The sequence below is a fragment of the Homo sapiens genome, chromosome 3 (genome assembly GCF_000001405.40).
Source record: "Homo sapiens chromosome 3, GRCh38.p14 Primary Assembly".
NCBI lineage: Eukaryota > Metazoa > Chordata > Mammalia > Primates > Hominidae > Homo > Homo sapiens.
In genome coordinates, this window is record NC_000003.12 from 114,364,953 (window position 1) to 114,385,029 (window position 20,077).

Consider the following 20,077-nt stretch of genomic DNA (forward strand, 5'->3'; position numbering starts at 1 on the left):
CAGCACAGGCTTTATCTGATGTGCCGGCGCCTGGTGTGGTCTAAGACACACTGGTGTTTTGTTCTTGAAGTACAGGATTGATGTTCTGAAACCTAGGCTCTAACACAAAGGAGATCATTAGCTCATTTTAAGTGTCTCTTTTCTTCCCTCCCAGCCTCCTCCTACCCACCCCAATACTTCCTTAGTCCTAAGCACTGGCAGCAGATGGCAACCATATTCCAAAGCTGAGTATACATAAAATAGTGCCATGGAGAACAGAGTGGCTTCAAAGTTAGCCTTTCTATTCAAGTGGGATGGCGGGGACTTCTGGAGGAGTGAACTCATCTCTCATTCATTTAATCCTCTATTCATTCAGCCAGGAATTTGTTTTCCTACACATCCATCTACTGTCCAGCCAGTTGAGGGAGGGTGGGCATGAAGCATCTCTCTTGAGGGCCCTTCCAGCAGGAGGGCACTAAGATTTCTATGCCAAGCTCTTGTTTCCCTGGGCCAGCTCTGCCTGCTGCTGATCAAATCATGCCATTCCTGTAAGAGGAGCTTGGGAACACAGTGTGTAGGGGGTGGATTTCTCAAGAACTATCTCCTTGCTAGACTGACAGTCACATGCTGTATTCCCTAGACAAAGATTAGACCCAGGAAAAAGATGAAACAAGGAGGAGGATGTGGGGTTGCAGAAAACTGTGCAGGATGTTACAGTAACGGGAGGTGGGAGTGGGAAAACCTTTCCTTTTTGTTGTTTCAAGGTTTGCTAGAGCTTTTGCCTAATCATCTGTTTGAGCATCTTGAAAATAAGTATCTATTTCCATGGTATCTATCAAAAACAGGCACCAGATTATACTACAAAGTTGACCTGCCATATTGCTATTAGAATTAAAACATGTAGCAGCTTACATTCAAAAGAAAGCTTTTCTGTTTCCCCAGCATGAAAAGCAGAGGGTATTTGTGATACACTTTGTTTTGTAGGTCTGCTGAATGAAAAAAATAATCGGGTAAAAAATTAGTACCTATATTTTCACAAATGGGCATAATGCTTACAAATGCACTACATCATTATTTTAGCTTCATTCTCCCCACAACATTCATTTATTCATTCAACAAACATTTGCTGAGCACCTACTCCTAATTTGTGTAAGCACTTTGCTGGGTGCTAGGGATTCAGCAGTGGACAAGGTAAACAAGATTCCGCCCTCCTGAATTCTGTCACCTGGCCAAAATAAACATTTAACAAGTACGCTGCTAGAATTTTACTTGAGAAAAAGGAATAATTCATCTTACCTAGTATTTCTTCTGAATCTTTCTTAAACATATTTCTTGAAGGTCCAGACTCCTTTAACTAAGAAGTTCTATCTTAAATCTCTCTCTTTCCATTGTTATATTCATTCCTTTCTTGGTTACAATGTGGAGAGTTCAGATTGCAACTGCTATCATTTCTGGGGGGAATGGGGGTGGGACTGTAACCCTGAGAATCCTTGCTTTTCAAACTACACATATATTTTCTCTGTAAATATTGTACCATCTAATTTGCGTCTTTGGATTTTGTTGATTAGCCATCAACATGTGATTTAAGGAATACTGCATATGAGATGCAGAAATCATGACTCAGTAAGTTATTATTTTAAAGCTCTATTTTGGGATTTATACAGACTTGTGTACAGTCTAGTTTGGCTTTCAATCTAATCTGCAACTATTACTAGGAGGCTTTTAGATCAAGTTCCATACCCATGTGTCTCTGGAATTCTACAGTGAGAAGCAAAAGTGCTCAGGAGTTAAGAGAAGCAGACGTCCGAAATTATCTCCATGCATTACCAAAAACCGTGGGCACCACGGCACGGGGAAAACTTACCAGGTACAATGAGCCAGTGACTGTTACTGAATTTCTTAAGATTACACTTTTCCCAACTACTGCAGACTGCTTCAGAATAGAAGAAGGTAAGTAAGCAGGGTGATTACAAGCAATCCTCCTCGGAAGTGAAACTCACTCTTCTAAGTTTACCTCTGTTTTGAATTATTTCAGACAACTCTCATGCCATCAAGCCGACGGACTTTCAAAAAAATAAAAGATGCATTTCTTTACTTGTAAGTATTTGTCTTTGCAAAGGGCTCTCTGATATGGTAGCACAGAAGTTTGCACATTCTAAGGATCTGATGTTTTGCCCTCTTCGGGTATCCCGGCTGGAAGGAGCTACGGTGAAAGGGCACCTAAGGTGAATGGACAGATTGTAGATGGGTGCACACAGGAAAATGTACAGCTCCTACAATGTATTCTGAGGTAAGAGAGCACACAAGTCCATTCCCTATAATTTGAAAATCTCTCTTCTTTTTTTATTTTTTAGAGACAGGATCTCACTCTGTCACCCAGGGTGGAATGCAGTGGGATGATCATGGCTCACTGAAGCCTTAACTTCCTGGGCTCAGGTGATCCTCCCACCTCAAATTCCCAAGTAGCTGGACTACAAGTGCACACCACTATGCCCCGCTAACTGTTTTGTAGAGATGGGGTTTCACTATGTTGCTGAGGCTGGTCTCAAACTCCTGGGCTCAAGTGATAAATCCACACTGGCCTCCCAAAGTGTTGGGATTACAGGCGTGAGCCACCATGCCCAGCGTGAAAATCTCTTATTGACTAGAATGCACTTGAAGACAAAAAGGAACTTAACAGGTTAACACTAGAATGTAATGCTATAATATTAATAACACTCTAACCCTTCCCTATACCAAGAAGACAACATTCAGAGAGATTTGAAACTTCTTTCAGCCCCAGTTTCCTTATCTGTAAATGGGGTGTTTTGTAATAAGATTATGCATATTAGTCCTCTTTCATTTTTAGGAAAAAAAAACATACAAATGGGGGAATAAAAGAAGGCAAAGAGATAATGGAGAAACTTCCCAGTCTATTCAGGCCTGAATCCAAGAAGGGACAAGAAGAAGGGCACTGGCTTTTCCTCGAAGTGAAGGATGTAACTGTCTTACACACAATCTCCTCCCATAGATCTAGGGCTTTTCAGCCTCAGTCGTTCTCAGGGGGAAAGGATGGGGACCTGCAACAACTTTCACTTAGGCTGCATCAATTTTAGTTCATATTAATAATTTTCAAGCACTTAAAACTGTAGCCGACACTCAAATTCACGGAGCGCTGGCTGTTTTTCTGGTGCTGCTTTAAGGGCTTTACATGTAGTGTTCCATCGAATCCTTCTAATAACCCTATGAGATGCATACTATTTTTATTCTCATTATGCAATTATGCACATGAGGAAATGGAAACATAGGGAGGTTAATTAAAGGCACATAAAATGCATTCATAGGCTGAAGTTCATGTTAAAAAGAGCAAATAAGTAGACCATGGGGGTGAGAAAATATTTTCTGAATATTGGAAAACAACACATAGCCCCAGTCTTAGTCCATTAGCAACATGTTCAAGAAATAGCTTTAGCAGTCTGTTATCATACCTGCCCCCACCCTGAAGGCATATCGGAGGGACCCGAGAGGACATCAGGAGCCATTCTGCATTGGGATGTTCACAGGGACCTCTCCTCATTGCTTCTAAGTTCACTCTTGGGTGCCAGGTTTGAGGGTGCAGATTCTGATTAGGATATGTCCTGGGGAAGTGGCTTTTTCCTTCTGTTAGTTCTCTGACCCTAATGTAACAAAATCTTTAAACCTGTGTCCCAGAACAACACGCAGGAAAGAATATGAACCTCTAAAAGAAAGGCCCAGTAATGGTACCAGTAGAGTCCAAGGCCTCCAGGTCAAGAACTCCTGCTCTGGAGCAGGGCTGGAAGTGGGGGCACGCTTTGCCTGTATCACTGCCCAGTGAAACCAGGCCTGCTTTGCAGTGCCTGTTAGCATGTCAACCCAGGATTACTTAGGCCACTTCAGGAATCCCAGGATCTAGTCACCCATCTGGGACCTTTAGGTCAGGAAGAAAATGGAATGGGCTAGATTTATGAAAATTGGAAAAAATCCAGTCAGGTGTACCTATAAAGACCTACAGTATTTCCCTGAGAAAATGACATGTATCCTTTACCCTGGGGTTAACTTCTAAAAGTTTTAGTTTAGAATTTGCATGTGTCTTTTCCATTAGACACAGAGTTATCTTTTGTAGTTCAAACTTATATGCACCTTTCTTTCATTGTCTCCTTTACATCTAAATACCTGGTTAAGATATGAGGCAAAGAGATAATCAGTGATTATATAGGGAAGAACGTGATTACAGTAAAAAATTGAAGGACAAAGTTAATTCAGTTACTGCTTTTTGAAATTCTTTGTAGTATTCTACATGCCACACCAAGCTTTTTTAAAAATTCTGTACTCTTTGGTCTAATATCTTGGTATAAAACTGATAACATAACCAAGCTAAAACTAGTGAGGATAAATAAGTAGGAGGAAACTCATTTTTAGAATTGGAGAGGAAAGGAAAAAACTCCTCAAGGTCAATTTTGACATCAACTATAAATTCATTTGGCCTTGTGAAATTATAAAGACTCATGTTCAACATTGTTCCATGTGGTTGTTTATATAATTTTCAGTAGTGACAAAATAATCTCCTTATTTAGTTTTACAGGTAATTTAATAGTAGAACAAAGTATCGTTTGATTCAGTTGGTTCCAGATCACCATCCTACAGTAGAAGTATATCAGATACTTTTGTGTACAGGTGGGATTGGCCTTTGGAATGTCTTGGACCATCACAGAAAGCAGCATACTTTAAGTAAACAAATTGAAACCCTCCCTACAAATAATGAATTTGAGGATGTCCCATGACAATGAAGGTGGCCTTGAGAACAACACATAGGTTTGTTATTAGTAATTACAGAGCTACCTGAATTGGGCATATCATGAAAGAAGTACACAGAACATGGCTTTTAAAGAATTATGCTTTGTCATTTCAAAAACAATTGTTTTTAAAAATTGTTTTAAAAATTGTTAAGATGATTTAAATGTTCAAAGTGTATGACACCTATCCTCTGCTTAGTGTTCAGAGGTTACTGAGGGTAAGGAACTGAGTTAATATTTGTGAAGTAATAATACTTGTAAAACATTATTTCTCATAAAAAATAATAGAAAGCAATGTTGAGAAGAAGTAGAGAAAGAACCAGTATAATATAATTACTGCCTCACTGGGCTTGGGTAGTGCCTTCAAATTCCTTTCACATATATTTACCATTCCAATTGCCCTGTGAAATGGAAGATCTAATTCCTTCTCACTTTGCCTATTTAATTGCAGAGTCTCCCTTAACACTGGTTTTTCTCAGTCTATAATGGGCTAGGAACTCTTGTATCATAAAAATATTCATTACTCCACTTTTGAGTTACCCATTCATTATTTCTTTTTAAAACATTAAACTTGTACTTTGTAATAGTTGCTTTCCCATTTATCCTATGTTTGCTCCTGAACCCCTCTTTATGGTCTTTTTTGTGACACATCTGATTCTGTTTTCTTGACAACAATCAGGAGGCTAGTAATCCCAAAACCTAAGGTAATCTTTTCCTAGGTCTCTCCCTCGTTGGTGTCTGTGGCACCTGATACTGACTGCTGATCCTTCCTCTCCCTGATGGTCTCTCTGCACTATCCTGGTTTTTCTCCTATCCCTTAGAACTCTCTTTTCTTTTCCTCTATTTATTCATTCTTCATTCTCTTTCTTATCACTCATGTAAATATTTCCCAAGGTTTTGCTTTCCTTTTTTCTCTCAACAAAGACTTCTTTGAAGTTTACTCCCATATTTATGGCTTATAGTGCTCTTGGCCAAAGTGTTTGCTAGTCCTAATCTCACGCATTCCTGCTGTGCCCCAGGACCCTGTTTGTAACTCAGTGTTAGTTGTCTCCACTGGGAACACCTGTGGTAGCTCATACTCGGCACTATATAAAATGGAATTCAATTTGATTCCTTTAAATGCTTTTCATCTTTACTTGATACCTTGGAGTTATCTTTGATAACTGCCTTTGTTGTAACTAACACTCAGCTCCCAGAGCTGTCTACCCTCATCCACAAAATCTGTTGCACCTGGATCCTCCCCATTCCTCCTATTACCGCCCCCTTCAGGTCACCAATAGTGTGAAATACTGACAGTGCTGTCTGGACCCTCTCCTTCCTCCAGTTGCTCCTTCTCACATCCAGGCTGCCAAATTAGATCTTCTCAAAATCTTGCTCATGGTAGGCCCTACTTAACACCCTTCCACAGCTCTGCAACAGAGGTGCAAACCCCTCATACCTAGTCCTGATGCCTCATTTCCAGTCTTTCAAAAGAGCTCAAATGGAGCCATGTCTAATAAACCTACCTAGATATTACTGTTAACTGGATTAAAATATACTTTACAAACTTTCTAAATTCTCAGATACTGGTGATGTGAGGATACATATTGTTTTAAGATTCTTGGTGGTGGGGTCTGTTTTTCTCCACCTTTGTGTCCTCATGGAACTCACTGTAGTGACAGGCACAAAAGATATATTCTATACATACTTGCTGAGTGAGTGAATCAATGCTCCGGTGGGTCTCTGTGTATGGGGACATATCTTTAACCACGCTGCATGGAAGTTGTTTGTGAATGTTATTTGATCTTCTCTACAAGACTCTAAGTCTCTGAGCCTAGGGCTCCAGTTTATAAAACTGCGTCCTGCACAATACTTAGCCTGTGGTCCTCCACATTGAAAGCATCCACTATATTGATGGATGAATAGTCCTGACTCCTTTCTGTTCAGAGAACATTAAGTTTGTCCAGAAGCAGACTTAGTAACAAGCAGCATAAATGGTGGGAGAAAGGGCAGGGTTCTGTTTCTGACTCTGTCATTCATTATGCTGGGAAACTTTCGTTATAACACTTGTGTTATTTGGGCCTCAGTTTTCTCATGTGTACAATAATGGGTATAGACCAGGTAACCTTTAATCTTGCACTGCTGATAAAAAGTTAGAACTGGCACACATTCCTCAGAGAGAACAAATGATTCAGAGGCAGAAGAAAAGCAAAAAAGAAAGCAAAAAAAAAAAAAGGGATTCTGCTGATGAAGTAATAAGGTATGTGATTATGGTACCTAGTGTGAGGTGACTGGTGGAAAGATCCGACTTGAAATTTCCTTAAAGCAAGAAGTCCTTAAAGAATCCTCATGCTTGCTCTCAATCAATCCTAAATGATCCAACTCTAAGGGCAGTAGTGCATGTGGCCTCTTTTATTTTAAGTAAGGATGTGAGAAGTCTTGACAGATATGGAGAAGCACTAATTTTATATAATGAAATCTGCCATGAACAGAGGAAGCACACATGAAACTGTCACTAGCAGCTGTAGATAAGAATTAAAGATGTATTCCTGCATGGGATGAGATGGCAAGATGAAGAACAGAACCGTGAAAATCAGCATTGGGCCCTAACAATTACATGTGGATAATCATATCTATGCACTGTTTGGGAGAGCAATATGACACAGTGTAACTTGAGCCAATGGGCATTGAGACCAGACTTGCCAAGGGACCTGGGAGGATTTTATAAGAGGACAGACTGTTAGAGTCGGGAAGGGCCACAAATCCATGACAAAGTTCCAGCATGACACCTGTAGGTGACTCTGGCTCCATGAATGAACTTTTCTCAACAATTAGTTATTCTGAGCCAGGTGTGGTGGCTCATGCCTGTAATCCCAGCACTTTGGGAGGCCGAGGCAGACGGATTGCTTGAGCTCAGGATTCGAGACCAGCCTGGGCAACATGATCAAATCTCACCTCTAAAATACAAACAAACAAAAAACCCCCCAAAAAACTAGCTGGCTGTGGTGGCACAAGTCTATGTTCCCAGCTACTCAGGAGGCTGGGTGGGAGGATTGCTTGAGCCCAGGAGGCAGAGGTGGCAGTGAGCTGAGATTGCACTGCTGTACTCCAGCCTGGGCAACAGAGCCAGACCCTGTTTAAACAAAAAAGAAAAATAAAAAGAAAATTTATTTTGTGATTTACTGATCAAAATCATCACTAGGTCCTTCAGAATACTTTCTTTTTTTTTCCTGAGATGCAGTCTTGCTCTGTCACTAGGCTAGAGTGCAGTGGTGCAATCTCGGCTCACTGCAACCTCCGCCTCCTGGGTTCAAGCGATTCTCCTACCTCAGCCTCCCAAGTAGCTGGGACTAGAGGCACGTGCCACCATGCCCAGCTAATTTTTCTATTTTTAGTAGAGACAGGGTTTCACCATTTGGCCAGGATGGTCTCGATCTCTTGACCTCATGATCTGGCCGCCTTGGTCTCCCAAAGTGCGGGGATTACAGGCGTGAGCCACTGCGCCTTGCCCCCTCAGAATACTTTCTTACTTTGACTGGCTGTGTGGAAGGAAGGGTTCTTTTGCCTATTAGAAAATAAGTAGATGTCTTGCTTTATTATATATTTGGAAAGCAAATGTCTCTGAAATGGATATAGGATTCAGCTCAGCTGAATTATAACAATAGACAATGTTACCCAAATACAAATCTTCCCATGATTAAAATGAGGCAAAGTATAAGAAGGCCTCAGTGTCATAACTGAACTGTTCTGTTTTCTGAAAACTCTGCGCTCTGTTTGTGCCTCTATGGTTTTGCTTCTTTCTATTCCTTCTGCCTGGAATGCCATTACTTCTGCCTTCTACTTTACAAATGCCCACTCCTTTATGATCCAGTTTAATTTCATTTTTGGTGTGGAGCTCTTTCCACTTCAAGAGGCTCTTTCCTCGGGGGCTCTGTAGCATTTTGTGCATACTGGAACACTTTAATTCTGCATTTATATTTACCCCGTTATGTTCCAAAGTGTGGGGATGGGGTCTTATTCCTATCTTCGTCCCTAATCTTAGCTGAGGACTTGGTGCAGAATGAGGGATCTGATAACATTTGATCAATGACTGAATTAATGACTAAATGAATGAATGAATAAGAACGACTACCAGAAATTACTGCATTAAGTGACTATGGAAGAAACCCAGTTAAATTGGTGTTGTAGGGAAATAATAAGTTTTATAAAAAGAGGGCCAATTTAAAAAATAGAGGTAGATTAAGATACAAAGTTTCAAGACCTGTGCTTTTTTAAAATAAGTGTGTCCCCAAATGCACAAAGTGGAAACTCTAGGAAATTAGAGCAAATAAAAAAAACGAACTGGCCTTCCAATGTATAAGTGCTGGACTAAGCACTAAAATCTCTAAATAAAGGGTATAAAAGGTAACGAAAAAATTCCAAAGAGATTATATATCAATTAACTAAGAGGCAGAAAGGTGACTTTTTAAAACGGGAAAGACTATCTTTAATGACAGGAAATCCACATTTAACAGATGAGGGGCTTACTTGGCAATGAAATGACAGAAAAACAGTTTAAATGAAAAGATAAATATATAATTCCTTACAGAACATAGAATAAAGCAGAATGCAGAACACTGGGGGCAACGAGAGCACTTAGTTGTACCAAAGACACTCTATTACTGCTTAACTGATACGGAATTTATTAGAAAATTAATAACAAGCCATTGGATAGTAACTGTCTGTGGTTGTTATTCCATTCCATTTTGGCTATATTTTCTCTGCAAATTAGTGTGACCCTAAAATGTTTTCAGGATTGTCCAACTTGTCCTAAATTCCATAAATAAACTCTTTCAGAGGATGCTGTTTTTTGCCATGTCTCTATTACGGTTCTTCACAGATGGACCATTTTTGTCCTTCCAAAGTCTAAGAATAACTCTTTCAGTTATCAAGACATACCAAAATCCAGTTCAGCTGCTCCTGTGGGATTCCAGTTAGTTTAGACACATCTGCTGAGATACATGCATTTGAATCCAAATGAAGCTTTTGTTTGATTATACATTTTGAACATTTATGGAGGTTTTCTGGGGCCAAAATGTTTTTCATTTTTTGGCACACCAAACAGAGATCTTCAGTTATAAACACTGCCTTCTGAGCACCTCCAACAGAAATCCAATCTTTTCATGTGAACAGGTGCCTCAGGAAGTTTTTGGAAGGTTTTACACTGAATCAGCTTTCCGATTGGAAACTTTCTGAACATGCAGTCAAATTTGCCAAAGAGACCTTCAAACTTGCTTGAGCAGTTTTCACTCATACAGACATACATTCACACATACAGACAGCCCAAGTAAAAGCAAATCAGAGCCCTGTAAAACTGAAGTATTTTTCTTAAAGGTTAAATATCATATGCAACCAAACTGAACAAAAAGAAATACACAACAGGAGACAGAATGAACGGATAGCACGAGGTTCTTCATTGAGCGTGTCTGCCTTAAAGCCTTACCTAGAGTTTAAGCTATACATCCTTTCAGTAAAGTTTTTTATTTCATCTGGTTTCAAATATATACTCAAGCATTCGCATTTTTAAACACGGCACCATAGAGTATTGCTACTAACGCCTTTCAATCACAAACCCGTTCAAACAGTTATTTTGAAACACTGCCTTCTCTAACACAAATGGGTAAACCAGATTTAAATGTAAAGGAAGAAAAAAAATTACTCTTTAAGTCAGGGGTTCTTTAGCAAAGCCCTCATCTTACCTGATTCCCTATAACTTTTACTTTCCAGTTTGAATACAGCATAGACTAAAAAGTTGTTATAGAGTAAAATAACTTTTTAAGCCTTAAGCCTATAAGTTTTTACAGAGTAAAATCACTCCCCCAGTGGGCATGCCTGCAATTCAAGGGGAAATCTGCTTTCAAGTTGTTCTAATGGCCCCGAACCAGATGCTCTAAGATGGCCAGAAACCTTTGTCTACACCCACTTAGCAGATTTCTGGCTCGTTATCAGGGACTAAAAGGTTTATTCACAGAAATGAATAATTTCCTTCGAAATATCCCTTACCCTATTTACATGCTTGCATATTCCTTCCATTTTGTTTTCCCCCTACAGCTTTACTAAGGGAATTAATTATCTGGAAGAACAGGAACATACAGTAAGTACATCTGAGTTACAGGATGAGACACAGTATGTCATCTATTAGGCCTGGCTAAGACCAGCAGCTGATGCTAAATGGGAAGGAACATGCACCAAATGTTTTTTAATCACAAAGTTAGTAATTAATTGCTCTTTAAAATACATTTTATGCTTCTTTCTGTCTGTGTACATGAAATGCACATTTATTACATGCCAAAAATTACAACATTATGGTTTAAATGTGACTGGCACGGAAGTCCGGAAATCAGAGTTAATGTTCCCACAGCAACTTTAATTCTGTCCGTGTGCACATGTAGAGCTATAATAGTCTTCCGTTCCAGGATAATACGTATAGATGGTTTTGGGAGGGAAGCTAAAGACCCATATCCTCAACTGTAGTTACAGGAAAAAAATCAAAGGATAAAAGCTGTGCTCCTTTCCACATACGTGGATAAAAACAATGTCCCCACACCCAGTGTTGTGTAATCAGGGAATGAAAGAATCTGCTGTGATGCCAGCACTCAAGGGGACAGTTTCTGTTGCTGTGGGAACCTGAACTTTGCATTTCCTGACTTTGGGGTAATTAAAATGTCAGCCTTAATGTGGCATTAATGGAGTTTGCCATAAAAATCTTCTGTTTTGTTCTCTAAAAAATTGCTTAAAAGTTCAAAATGAGCCAAGTGTACTAAAAATTTTAATCACACAGACTTGGGCGGGTGAAGCAAATGGTTGGGAGGGGGAGGCCAAGGAAGGTGGATGGCAAGAGTTGGAAAAGGAAGAGCCCATTGGCCTCTGTGAGTGTCCAGCCCCAGCAGAATGATGCTACCTACGGAGCTAAAGTTAAACCCACCCACACAACAGTTTGGAAATGTGTAAAGGTTCAATGAAAAATAAATAAAAACTGTTCATGCGTAAGTGCATCTTGGCAAAGACACAAAAAATGAGACAGTCTGATGAGGCCGGTATAAAACATGGGAAGGTAAGTCACCATGGATATCAGCTTCCAACAAAAGAAAGACATCAGAATAGGTGGATCTACAGCAGAAGTAGGGAGGACGGCCACAGGGAGGAAAATCACTTCTTTCAATGGGAGCCTTATTTGGGGGAAAACAAAATGGAAGAAATATGCAAGTAAAAGTTCTGGTCGCGTCTATCACATGTATATGACTGTGATGTGCTACAGCTTGATAGCTGTCAAGAAAGGTTTTTCATATGGAGAGCTTCGTCTGCTTTACTGACTTGGTTTAGTCCTGCTTAAGCATTTAAAGGGAGCACTTGGCTCAGCTCATACTCAGCTTGCTTAGTGAGTAACTGCTCTATCAAACACCTAGGGTGTTTTTTACCCTTCAGATTCCATAACTCATCTTAATGCCTTCCATTATCACCATGTGAATTTGCTTACCATTAGATTTTTAGCAATGGTGAAGAGGTGGTAAGCTAGGGGGTAATGGGGGAATATTGCTAAAAGGAAATTGTGTTAGTAGGCGCACTGCAAAGCAACATACATTTTAGCAGCAATATTAACCTCATCATCTCACAAAAGAAAGCATATCTCAACTATATTTCTTCTTGTTTTGAATACCACTGGGATCTTTTGCCGAATTTGAAGAGGCTCAGGAGGTTAAACAGCCAACTGAGAATTTAGGGGGTCAGACTTGTCATCTTTGCTGTAAAACACAGCCTGTGTCCTTCATATGCAAAAAAGATGGTGGCTTACCCACCCATGTCAGTTCATATGCAGAGCTGACTTTTCTTTTGTGGCGATGCTTTATCCATCATGTTTTACAACCCAGTCACCAATATGAGTAGTTGCACATTTTCAAGATGCCTGTTCAGAGCCAGGAATGCCGTCTTTGGGCTCAGAACAGAGAATTCCAATAAGAAATGCTCTCACAATGAGAGCAAATCCATAAACACCCCTCGGTACCCAAATGAGTTAACCACAAGCGAGTCTTCCATCTACCTGGGTGTCAATTTTCTCAGTTTTCTCATCTGTAAATTGGGAAGGATCATACTGACAGGATATGGGCATTAAATCATGACTAAGAATAATTTTGCTAAACACATGACAAATAAAAAGGTGCTATAAAAATTCAAGCACTTGTGAAAGCTTGGAACAACACACACTGGTGGAATGTTTCTGAAGTTAAAGAGACTAACAAGTCAAGGGCACTATTTTTAAATGCCCCAAATCTGTTAGTTCTAAATAGGAACTGAATATTTTACCTTAAAGAAATTAGGCTTTTAAATTAATCTATGGTAAGAATGACATTTGAAAGTAAAAAAAAAAAAATCCTCTTGAATGCAAGAAGAGCATCCAAAAATTTTAACAGCTTAAAATAAACCTTTTTCCTGTCTTCTCTCAAGCAATCTCCAAATGGACAGATTTCTGTGAATCTTTCCTAAAAACAATTTTCTTCTAAGTGTAGGCTCAAATCAGGACAAACTACAATCCAAATATATTTGGAGAAAAGTATAATCAATTTAAACAACAGGTTGGAACAGAGAAGACTTACACATCTTAATGGCAAAATCAAAGTGACTGTCTAAAAACAGCTGGAGATCAGGTTTCTCCTCCTGGTTTGTTTTTCCAACTGAGCTCACATCCACTGGCTTCCCCAGGGCCACCAAGGAGATGTATGGTGACACCATACTCACGCTGTTCCTGAAACTTACTTCATGCCAATGCTAAGGCCTGGCCAGAGGATGCTTATGATAAAGCACAATAAGTGAAGCCCAATGCTTTTTCTATTCACAAAACATTCATTTTTGCTGTAACAGAAGATTTCTAGCCTAAGGCAATTCTATGTAATCCATACCCATAAGGTGTGGCAGAAAGCTGGGTAATGAAGACCTGCATGTAGAAACTCCAGGCCCTTCACCACAGGAACGGGCTATTTTCCTGGTGGGAAGGGACAGTGTGCACATGCCTATGGGCACTGTGCCACTCTACTTTCCAATTCTTTCTGTCATTACTATTACACTGAAGATTGCCAGGCAAGAAGGTCCAAGGATGTGACTATTAGGACGGTCCTCAGAACACAGTCCCTGCTTCTGCCCCCTGGTTTCTCTATAGAAGCCTCAACTTCGACTGTTCAAATCACATAGGCCACAGAGATTTGTCTCACGTTACTTCCCTTTTCATTTTCTAGTGACGGCTAGAATATGGTCTTAGCCCAACCTTAAATAGAACAAGCTCTCTTCACCCCAATCCTGCCGCCAGCTCATTTCCCTCTCTTTAGAGACTATCATGATGAAGCAAGTAGAGAATGGAATCTCCTGGACCATTGTCTCTTGCCTTCTTTGCAGAATTTTACATTTGTTCTGTCAGAAAAATAACAATAAAAGATTTAGAATCTCATTTCCTAATAATTTTTGTCTTTGTGGACAAAATTTTATTTTTGAAATAAAACTTTGCAGGTCTTATGTTACTCATTTTAAAGAAGAATATGCCAGTTATTTGCATGTTACCAGACATCCTTTATGGAGATCAGTTCAGAAGAGTTGTTGGGTATGTTAAGACTAAAAGGAATATTCTTTTGGATTCGACTCCAAAGTTATTTCATTCCTTTCCATTGTCAACACACATGTTTCTTTTTCTCTGAAGTATTGGGTTACATTTCAGAAAAAGAAAAAAATCTCCTAAACGTGATTTATCAACTTGCTTAAAATAGAATTAGAAGAAGTGACTCCCAGATTAGTGGGAAGATGGCAAAAATAAACAGCAAAGAAGTGATTTCAATAGCGACGATCTCATTAAGCTGCCCATTTCCAAATTTAGCCCTTAGGCAGTTTTTTTAATTAAAAAATATTTTTAACCTGGATTCTCATTGGCTGTGTGAAGTCTGGGTGGCTTCTGAATTCTTGGAAGCCATTCTCTTTTCTTCTGTAAATTTATGCTATCCTTTAACCACTTCAAAATAAATTAAAAACTGGAAAGACAGAAATTCAGCCAAGCTACATGAGACTCCAATAACTAATGCAAATCTGACTTGTGTTATGTAATTTCAAAATGGATGTTTCCTTGTGTCTAACTGGCCTTCTGAGGTCCACATTTGGTTGTTCAATTTAGTAATTGTGGAAGTGCCATTATCCAGATCAAGAATAAATGGATACCAGCAACAAAACTTCATTTTCTGGGTTAGTGTTATGAAAAGAACGTGTTTTATGTAATTAATCAGCCCTTTAAGGCCAAATGGCATGTCACCTGGCTTTTAAATACACTCTAGCTTTGCAAACTTATAGATATTGGCTGAATGAAAATGGTGGCACATTACTTTTGGCTGCTTTAGAAGACCAAATGCAAAGAGCTCGCTCTGAAAGTAGAAAAGCCAGAACCCAGGGTAGAAGCACTACTCCAAGCACTGCAAAGACACCATCACCTTAGTGGTGTACTCACAATCAGATGACCCGGTGTGAGCGTGAGAGTTTGTCAGTGAATGTGTTGAGTGGATGAGGGCTGGGTCTGGAGACAAAACAGCTTCAAAGTTCAGGCAGGGAAGGCCCGGCTTGGCGCTGGATCCACCCGGCTGAGTAATCTCATTCTCCTCAGATGCCTTCTGGTTTTCAGCTGTCTTGGGTTTCTTCCTGAAAATAAACAAAGGGCCCTTTGAAGGAACTGACTGCATATTTGGGAAAAGGCATTTTTAGAATCTGTTAAAGATAACTTGATTTTTTTTTTCTGAAGGGGGATGGGAGGGAGTCCAGTATGTCCCTTGTTTTAAAACAAGCTGATTCTTGTTTTTTTTCCCTCCAGTAATGGCCTAACTGGGAACACATGAAAGCATATGGGCCAAGCAAACAGCACCACATTTGGACTCTGTTGGCTGCATAAAAAGACCCTGTCCCAGAACTTTAGACAGCTTGAGCTACGTATGGCTGACATTATCCAAGAAAGCATCCCTCTTCCCCCCTTAGGAGTTTTAACATGGTCTGGAAAAATACTAGTGGAAGTTTTACCGTTCTAGCATTTGTCAGGAAGCTTAGAGACAGGACTCGTGGAGTAATGGGAGGAGCACTGGACTGGGAGTCAGGAGACTTGAGCTACCGTACTAGCTGTGCCTCTAACTTGCTGTGTGGCCTTGGGCACCTCACTTCACCTCTCTGGGCTTCAGTTTCCTCATCTGTAAAATAAAGGGCTTGGATTAGAAGGCCTTAAAGGTTCCTTCCAACTTTAAATTTCTACTCATGGACTACATTAAGGAACATTCAACTTTCCTGCTCTTATTAAGATTTTATTTTAAATAAAATTTCAAATCACAATTTAAATTTGCAGCCTGTACGGATGAGGGGGTAGTGATGGGAGGTTTCTGTTAGAGTAGCAAGTGAAAAGTGAAAAGAAGAGCTTAGATTCTAGTAGCTAAAGAGGGAAGGTGTCATGCAGAGATTTTTCTACTCCAACTCTTTACTCATCCTACGCCTAAGATTTTTGATTTGGTGCATCGTCCTGGAGTTTAGGGTGTGATTGTGTGTTTGGGACATGAGGAAGAGAAGGGTGAAGGGAATTAGAAAGTAATTGTTACTAATTGTTATATGGGGTCAGGAATAGGAAGTAAAACAGCACAGCTATCAGTCAGCTCAGGTCTCCTCTCCCCAGGACAATGCAACTGATATGAAATTAACAAATACTTAGCTTATACTACACAGACCCTAGACCACAGCCAAACTGGTTTATTAGTAATAGTTCCTGAACATTTCTCCAATTCCCTTGGATTTGTGTCTTTTTCTATCATTATGTGGACATGACCAGAAAAAGCATTTATTTTATTTGTAGAAGACTATGTGTGGTACAGAATTTGTTGTAAGTAGATTTGTTTCCATGTTTCCCTTGTTTCTGTGAGCATGGTAATGTACTTGTTATGCAGAATATTTTGTATTTAAATTTGTTGTGCTGGGTAGTTAAATCTGCCCTCGCAGAATATGGTGTTATGATTAGTATGCTGTGTTTTCAGTCCAACAGGTTGTGAAATAAAATCTGTTTCTTCAGAGGGCAGGAGGCAGAGATGGCATGGCAAAGATTAGAATAGAGGTGAGGCTTTCAGACATCTTTTTCAGTATGGAGGAAGCCAATACAAGAGAAGCAACAAATTATAAGACCTTATCAATTGATTTTTGAATGGTGACTATGGGAGTAACCCCCAAATCTTGAGTGTCTACATGGACCCTGAAGGAGCTGGTATTCTGATTTTCAGTTTAAAGATGTAGCCAAGATCAAAGTTGCTAAAGCCCAACTCCTTTATTAAAACCAATGCTTTCTCTAAGGTCCATATCTCTATCACTGTTGTCTACCACCAGGTTGGAAACCTCAGGGTCACTATACACCTTCCTCTGCCTTAAAGCCAATTCATCAGTAAGTTCTTACAGTTCTGCTTCCTTCATATTTTTTCTCACATCTGTGTTTCCATTCCAATTTCACTGCAATCACCTACTGCTTTTTATCTAGCTGATTGTTTACTAACTGGCTCTCCAACCTCTTTCACTCCTCTAGTCCTGTTTCTTTGCATTCACTAAATCTAAGATGACTACATTAGCCTGACACTCAAGGTCAGTTCCGTATCTCTTCTAACTTTTCTCATGTGTCCTGTATATTGGCCATACTGTACCCTCAGATTTCTTGAATATCCTCCAGAACATCCTGGGAATCTACATTCTGGGCTCTACATCTTTGCTCAAGTTTTCTCTTACTTTGAATATCCCATATTTCATCTCTGCCCTGTTGAAATCATACTTATTATCCTTCATACTTATTAAATGGTGTCTTCATCTTATAACTGTCTTGATTCCTCTCTGCCAGGTAGGACTTCACTCCCCACAGTGAATTCCTCCCTAGGTCTTTCTCCGAAATGCCTAAGCTCTTTTTTTTCTTAATCTTATTTCACTCACTCAATTTTATTTCAATAATGGCTATTTATGTGCATATCCCTCTTGTGAGACTGTAAGCTCTCTGAAGGTAAGGAAATGTCTTAGTTATTTTAGTATTCCTAGTGTTCACCTATTCTTTTCTTCTTCCTTCTCTCCTGTCATTCATTCATTTACATATTCATTTTACAAATATTTATGATGTACCCATGATGTGCCAACATGGGCTAAAGAATAAAACAGGACTGGTTCCTTCCCTCCCAGAGTTTACTGCCTTGTCTATACTATTAAGCAATGTAGCTTAGACAAAGCTGTCATTCAATAATTGATTGTGGACAGAATGAAATGAAGCTGAAATTAAAGTGTATTTTAAGAACGGTCATAGTCTGAATCCCAATTAAGTTTCCTACTTTTTATGCAGCAAGGTAGCAAAACTACCTGACTGGCTGCTTTTGCTTTAAGTCTGTGAGGGGTATTTAATAAGAGCAGGACTATTTTGCTCAGTAAGGCTAGGCTGGCCCTCATGATTCATTTAAATATAGGGTCAAAACAGTAATGACATATGTCACCTAGCAGAAAAAAGTGTTTATTTTTGATATTCATAGACAGGGCCTAGGATACTTTCAGATGTGTGCTTCAGAAAATTAAGAAAGCTTTCTTTCAAACATAAGGACATAGCAAAACCACCAATATATTACTCTTTTATTTTTAACACTGCAAAAATTATATTGTTCTTCATATCAATGCCCTTGTTTCCTTCCCTAGATTCGCTCTTGTTTCCTACCTGACATCTTGTATCACACCCTCCTGTTGCCTCAGTGATCACTTTGGGAGAATATTGATAGCACAGAGGCATTGGAGCTACCTCTATAAACAGGAAATGTTAGCAACTCAACCTTTTTGGCTCACCCCCTTATTTGTCTTATATCACTTTACTTACCCTTATACCACTGGGCTGTTTCCCAACTGTCCAGATAATAGAGAACTGCTCACCATCCTCAGAAGCAATTCATGTCCTGTCTCACCCTCTCTAATGGTTCTTCGGACTCCTTTTTCCGGAGCTGAGAAACCCTAAAACATAGCACCCGTTTACGTCTAGACATGCACAGGTGCTGTGAATTGACCCCATTTTTGCAGTTCATAGTTTATTAAGGAGGAAAGAATAAGCCCTGTCATAATTAGTTGAAAATACATTTTGAGGCTGTATAAAAAGAATTATAAACATGGCACATCTGAGGGCAAGTCTTTTCAAGCCTCTGTGGCGATGCACTATTCCCTGGAGCCTTTAGAGGGCAGCAGCACACTGGCTGACTCCAGCGGATTTCAGAGAGGCGAACTCCCGACCAGAACCTTCCTCCTGGTCACCATGCCAAAGGTTGATTTGCCAGGCTCTGGCCTCTCAGTCTCTTTCTTTTCAGTTCTCATTCTCTCTCTCTCTCTCTCTCTCTCTCTCATTCTCTCTCTCTCTCTCTCATTTTCTCTCTCTCTCTCTCTCCAACCCCTTCCTCCTCTCTCTCTGTTAAAATTATACACTCTGATGAAGTCGCCCCTCAACCGGAAAATGAAAGCTCCAATGAAAAAGTTAGACAAGCCAACAACAACAAAGAAAGAAACCAGGGAAAAAGGAAAAGGGGGCTGGTGACAGGGAAGGACTTAAGAATAAGAAAAGGGCAGATGTTTCGCAAATATATGCAAAGCAAAACTGGGTGTACCCTGAACACTTCCACAGAGAAACAGACCAATCATTGTGCACTTCCTCCCGCCACACTGGTGGAGCTCTGCATTCAAAAAAAGAAAAAAAAAAAAGGCAAAAAAGCGTGGCCGCAGGCACCCGCCTTTCAACGGTCAGTTCTGACATTCTGACTGAACATCTCTCAATTGTCCAAGGAGAACAAAAACATTTTCATCTCCTCACTGCAAACATTTCTGTTATGAGAAAAGGCTGCTTCAAGAATTGGGAGTGTGTTTTAAGGAGACTGGCGGCCGAGTTAGCCAGCAGAGCCTTCTGGTTTTTAACTCTCATTGTGCTGGCCCCAGCAAGAAGTTTTAGGCTGAAACATAGCAGTGAGTAAGGCTGTGGAGGATGTTGGCTCTTTCCTAACTAGACCATATTGTATGTGGAAAGAAATATGCATTAAAACATATTGATGATATGGTAGGTATTAAGCATGTTAAATGCATGGAAATTAACCAGATCGGCGGCATTTGATGTATATATTTCACACTCTTTTGCACATATTGCACACATACAGTGATGGCAATGCTTTCTGCAACATATGGAAAAATAAATATTTTATCTGTGTGAGCTCTTAGCAGTCTCCAGGGTGTTGAGAGTGCTCTCTTCTTTCACCCTA

The 20,077-nt window shown here is 39.8% G+C and overlaps 1 protein-coding gene and 1 long non-coding RNA gene across 19 annotated transcripts in view; one reads left to right on the forward strand and one right to left on the reverse strand.

The window, feature by feature from the left end:
* Nucleotides 1-20,077, reverse strand: part of ZBTB20 (zinc finger and BTB domain containing 20) — an 832,789-nt gene that overhangs the window by 50,453 nt on the left and 762,259 nt on the right. For 13 of the 18 annotated variants that reach the window (NR_121662.3, NM_015642.7, NM_001348801.3 and 10 more), the window contains one exon: nt 15,265-15,452. Coding sequence is in view for 5 of the 18 variants with exons in the window: in NM_001164342.2 (NP_001157814.1) it covers nt 15,265-15,452; nt 15,825-15,835 (199 nt within the window). In the remaining 13 variants the exon portion in view is untranslated. Of the gene's footprint in view, nt 1-15,264; nt 15,453-15,824; nt 15,989-18,663; nt 18,691-20,077 lie in introns of those variants that run through there. The other 5 variants (NM_001348800.3, NM_001348803.3, NM_001393393.1 and 2 more) reach the window with 2 other exon arrangements.
* ZBTB20-AS1 (ZBTB20 antisense RNA 1) overlaps nt 1-20,077 on the forward strand; it is a 37,168-nt gene that overhangs the window by 13,142 nt on the left and 3,949 nt on the right. Inside the window, exons 5-7 of the long non-coding RNA NR_038993.1 lie at nt 1,744-1,929; nt 2,015-2,269; nt 10,842-10,884. This is a non-coding gene — a long non-coding RNA (ZBTB20 antisense RNA 1). The remainder of the gene's footprint in view (nt 1-1,743; nt 1,930-2,014; nt 2,270-10,841; nt 10,885-20,077) is intronic.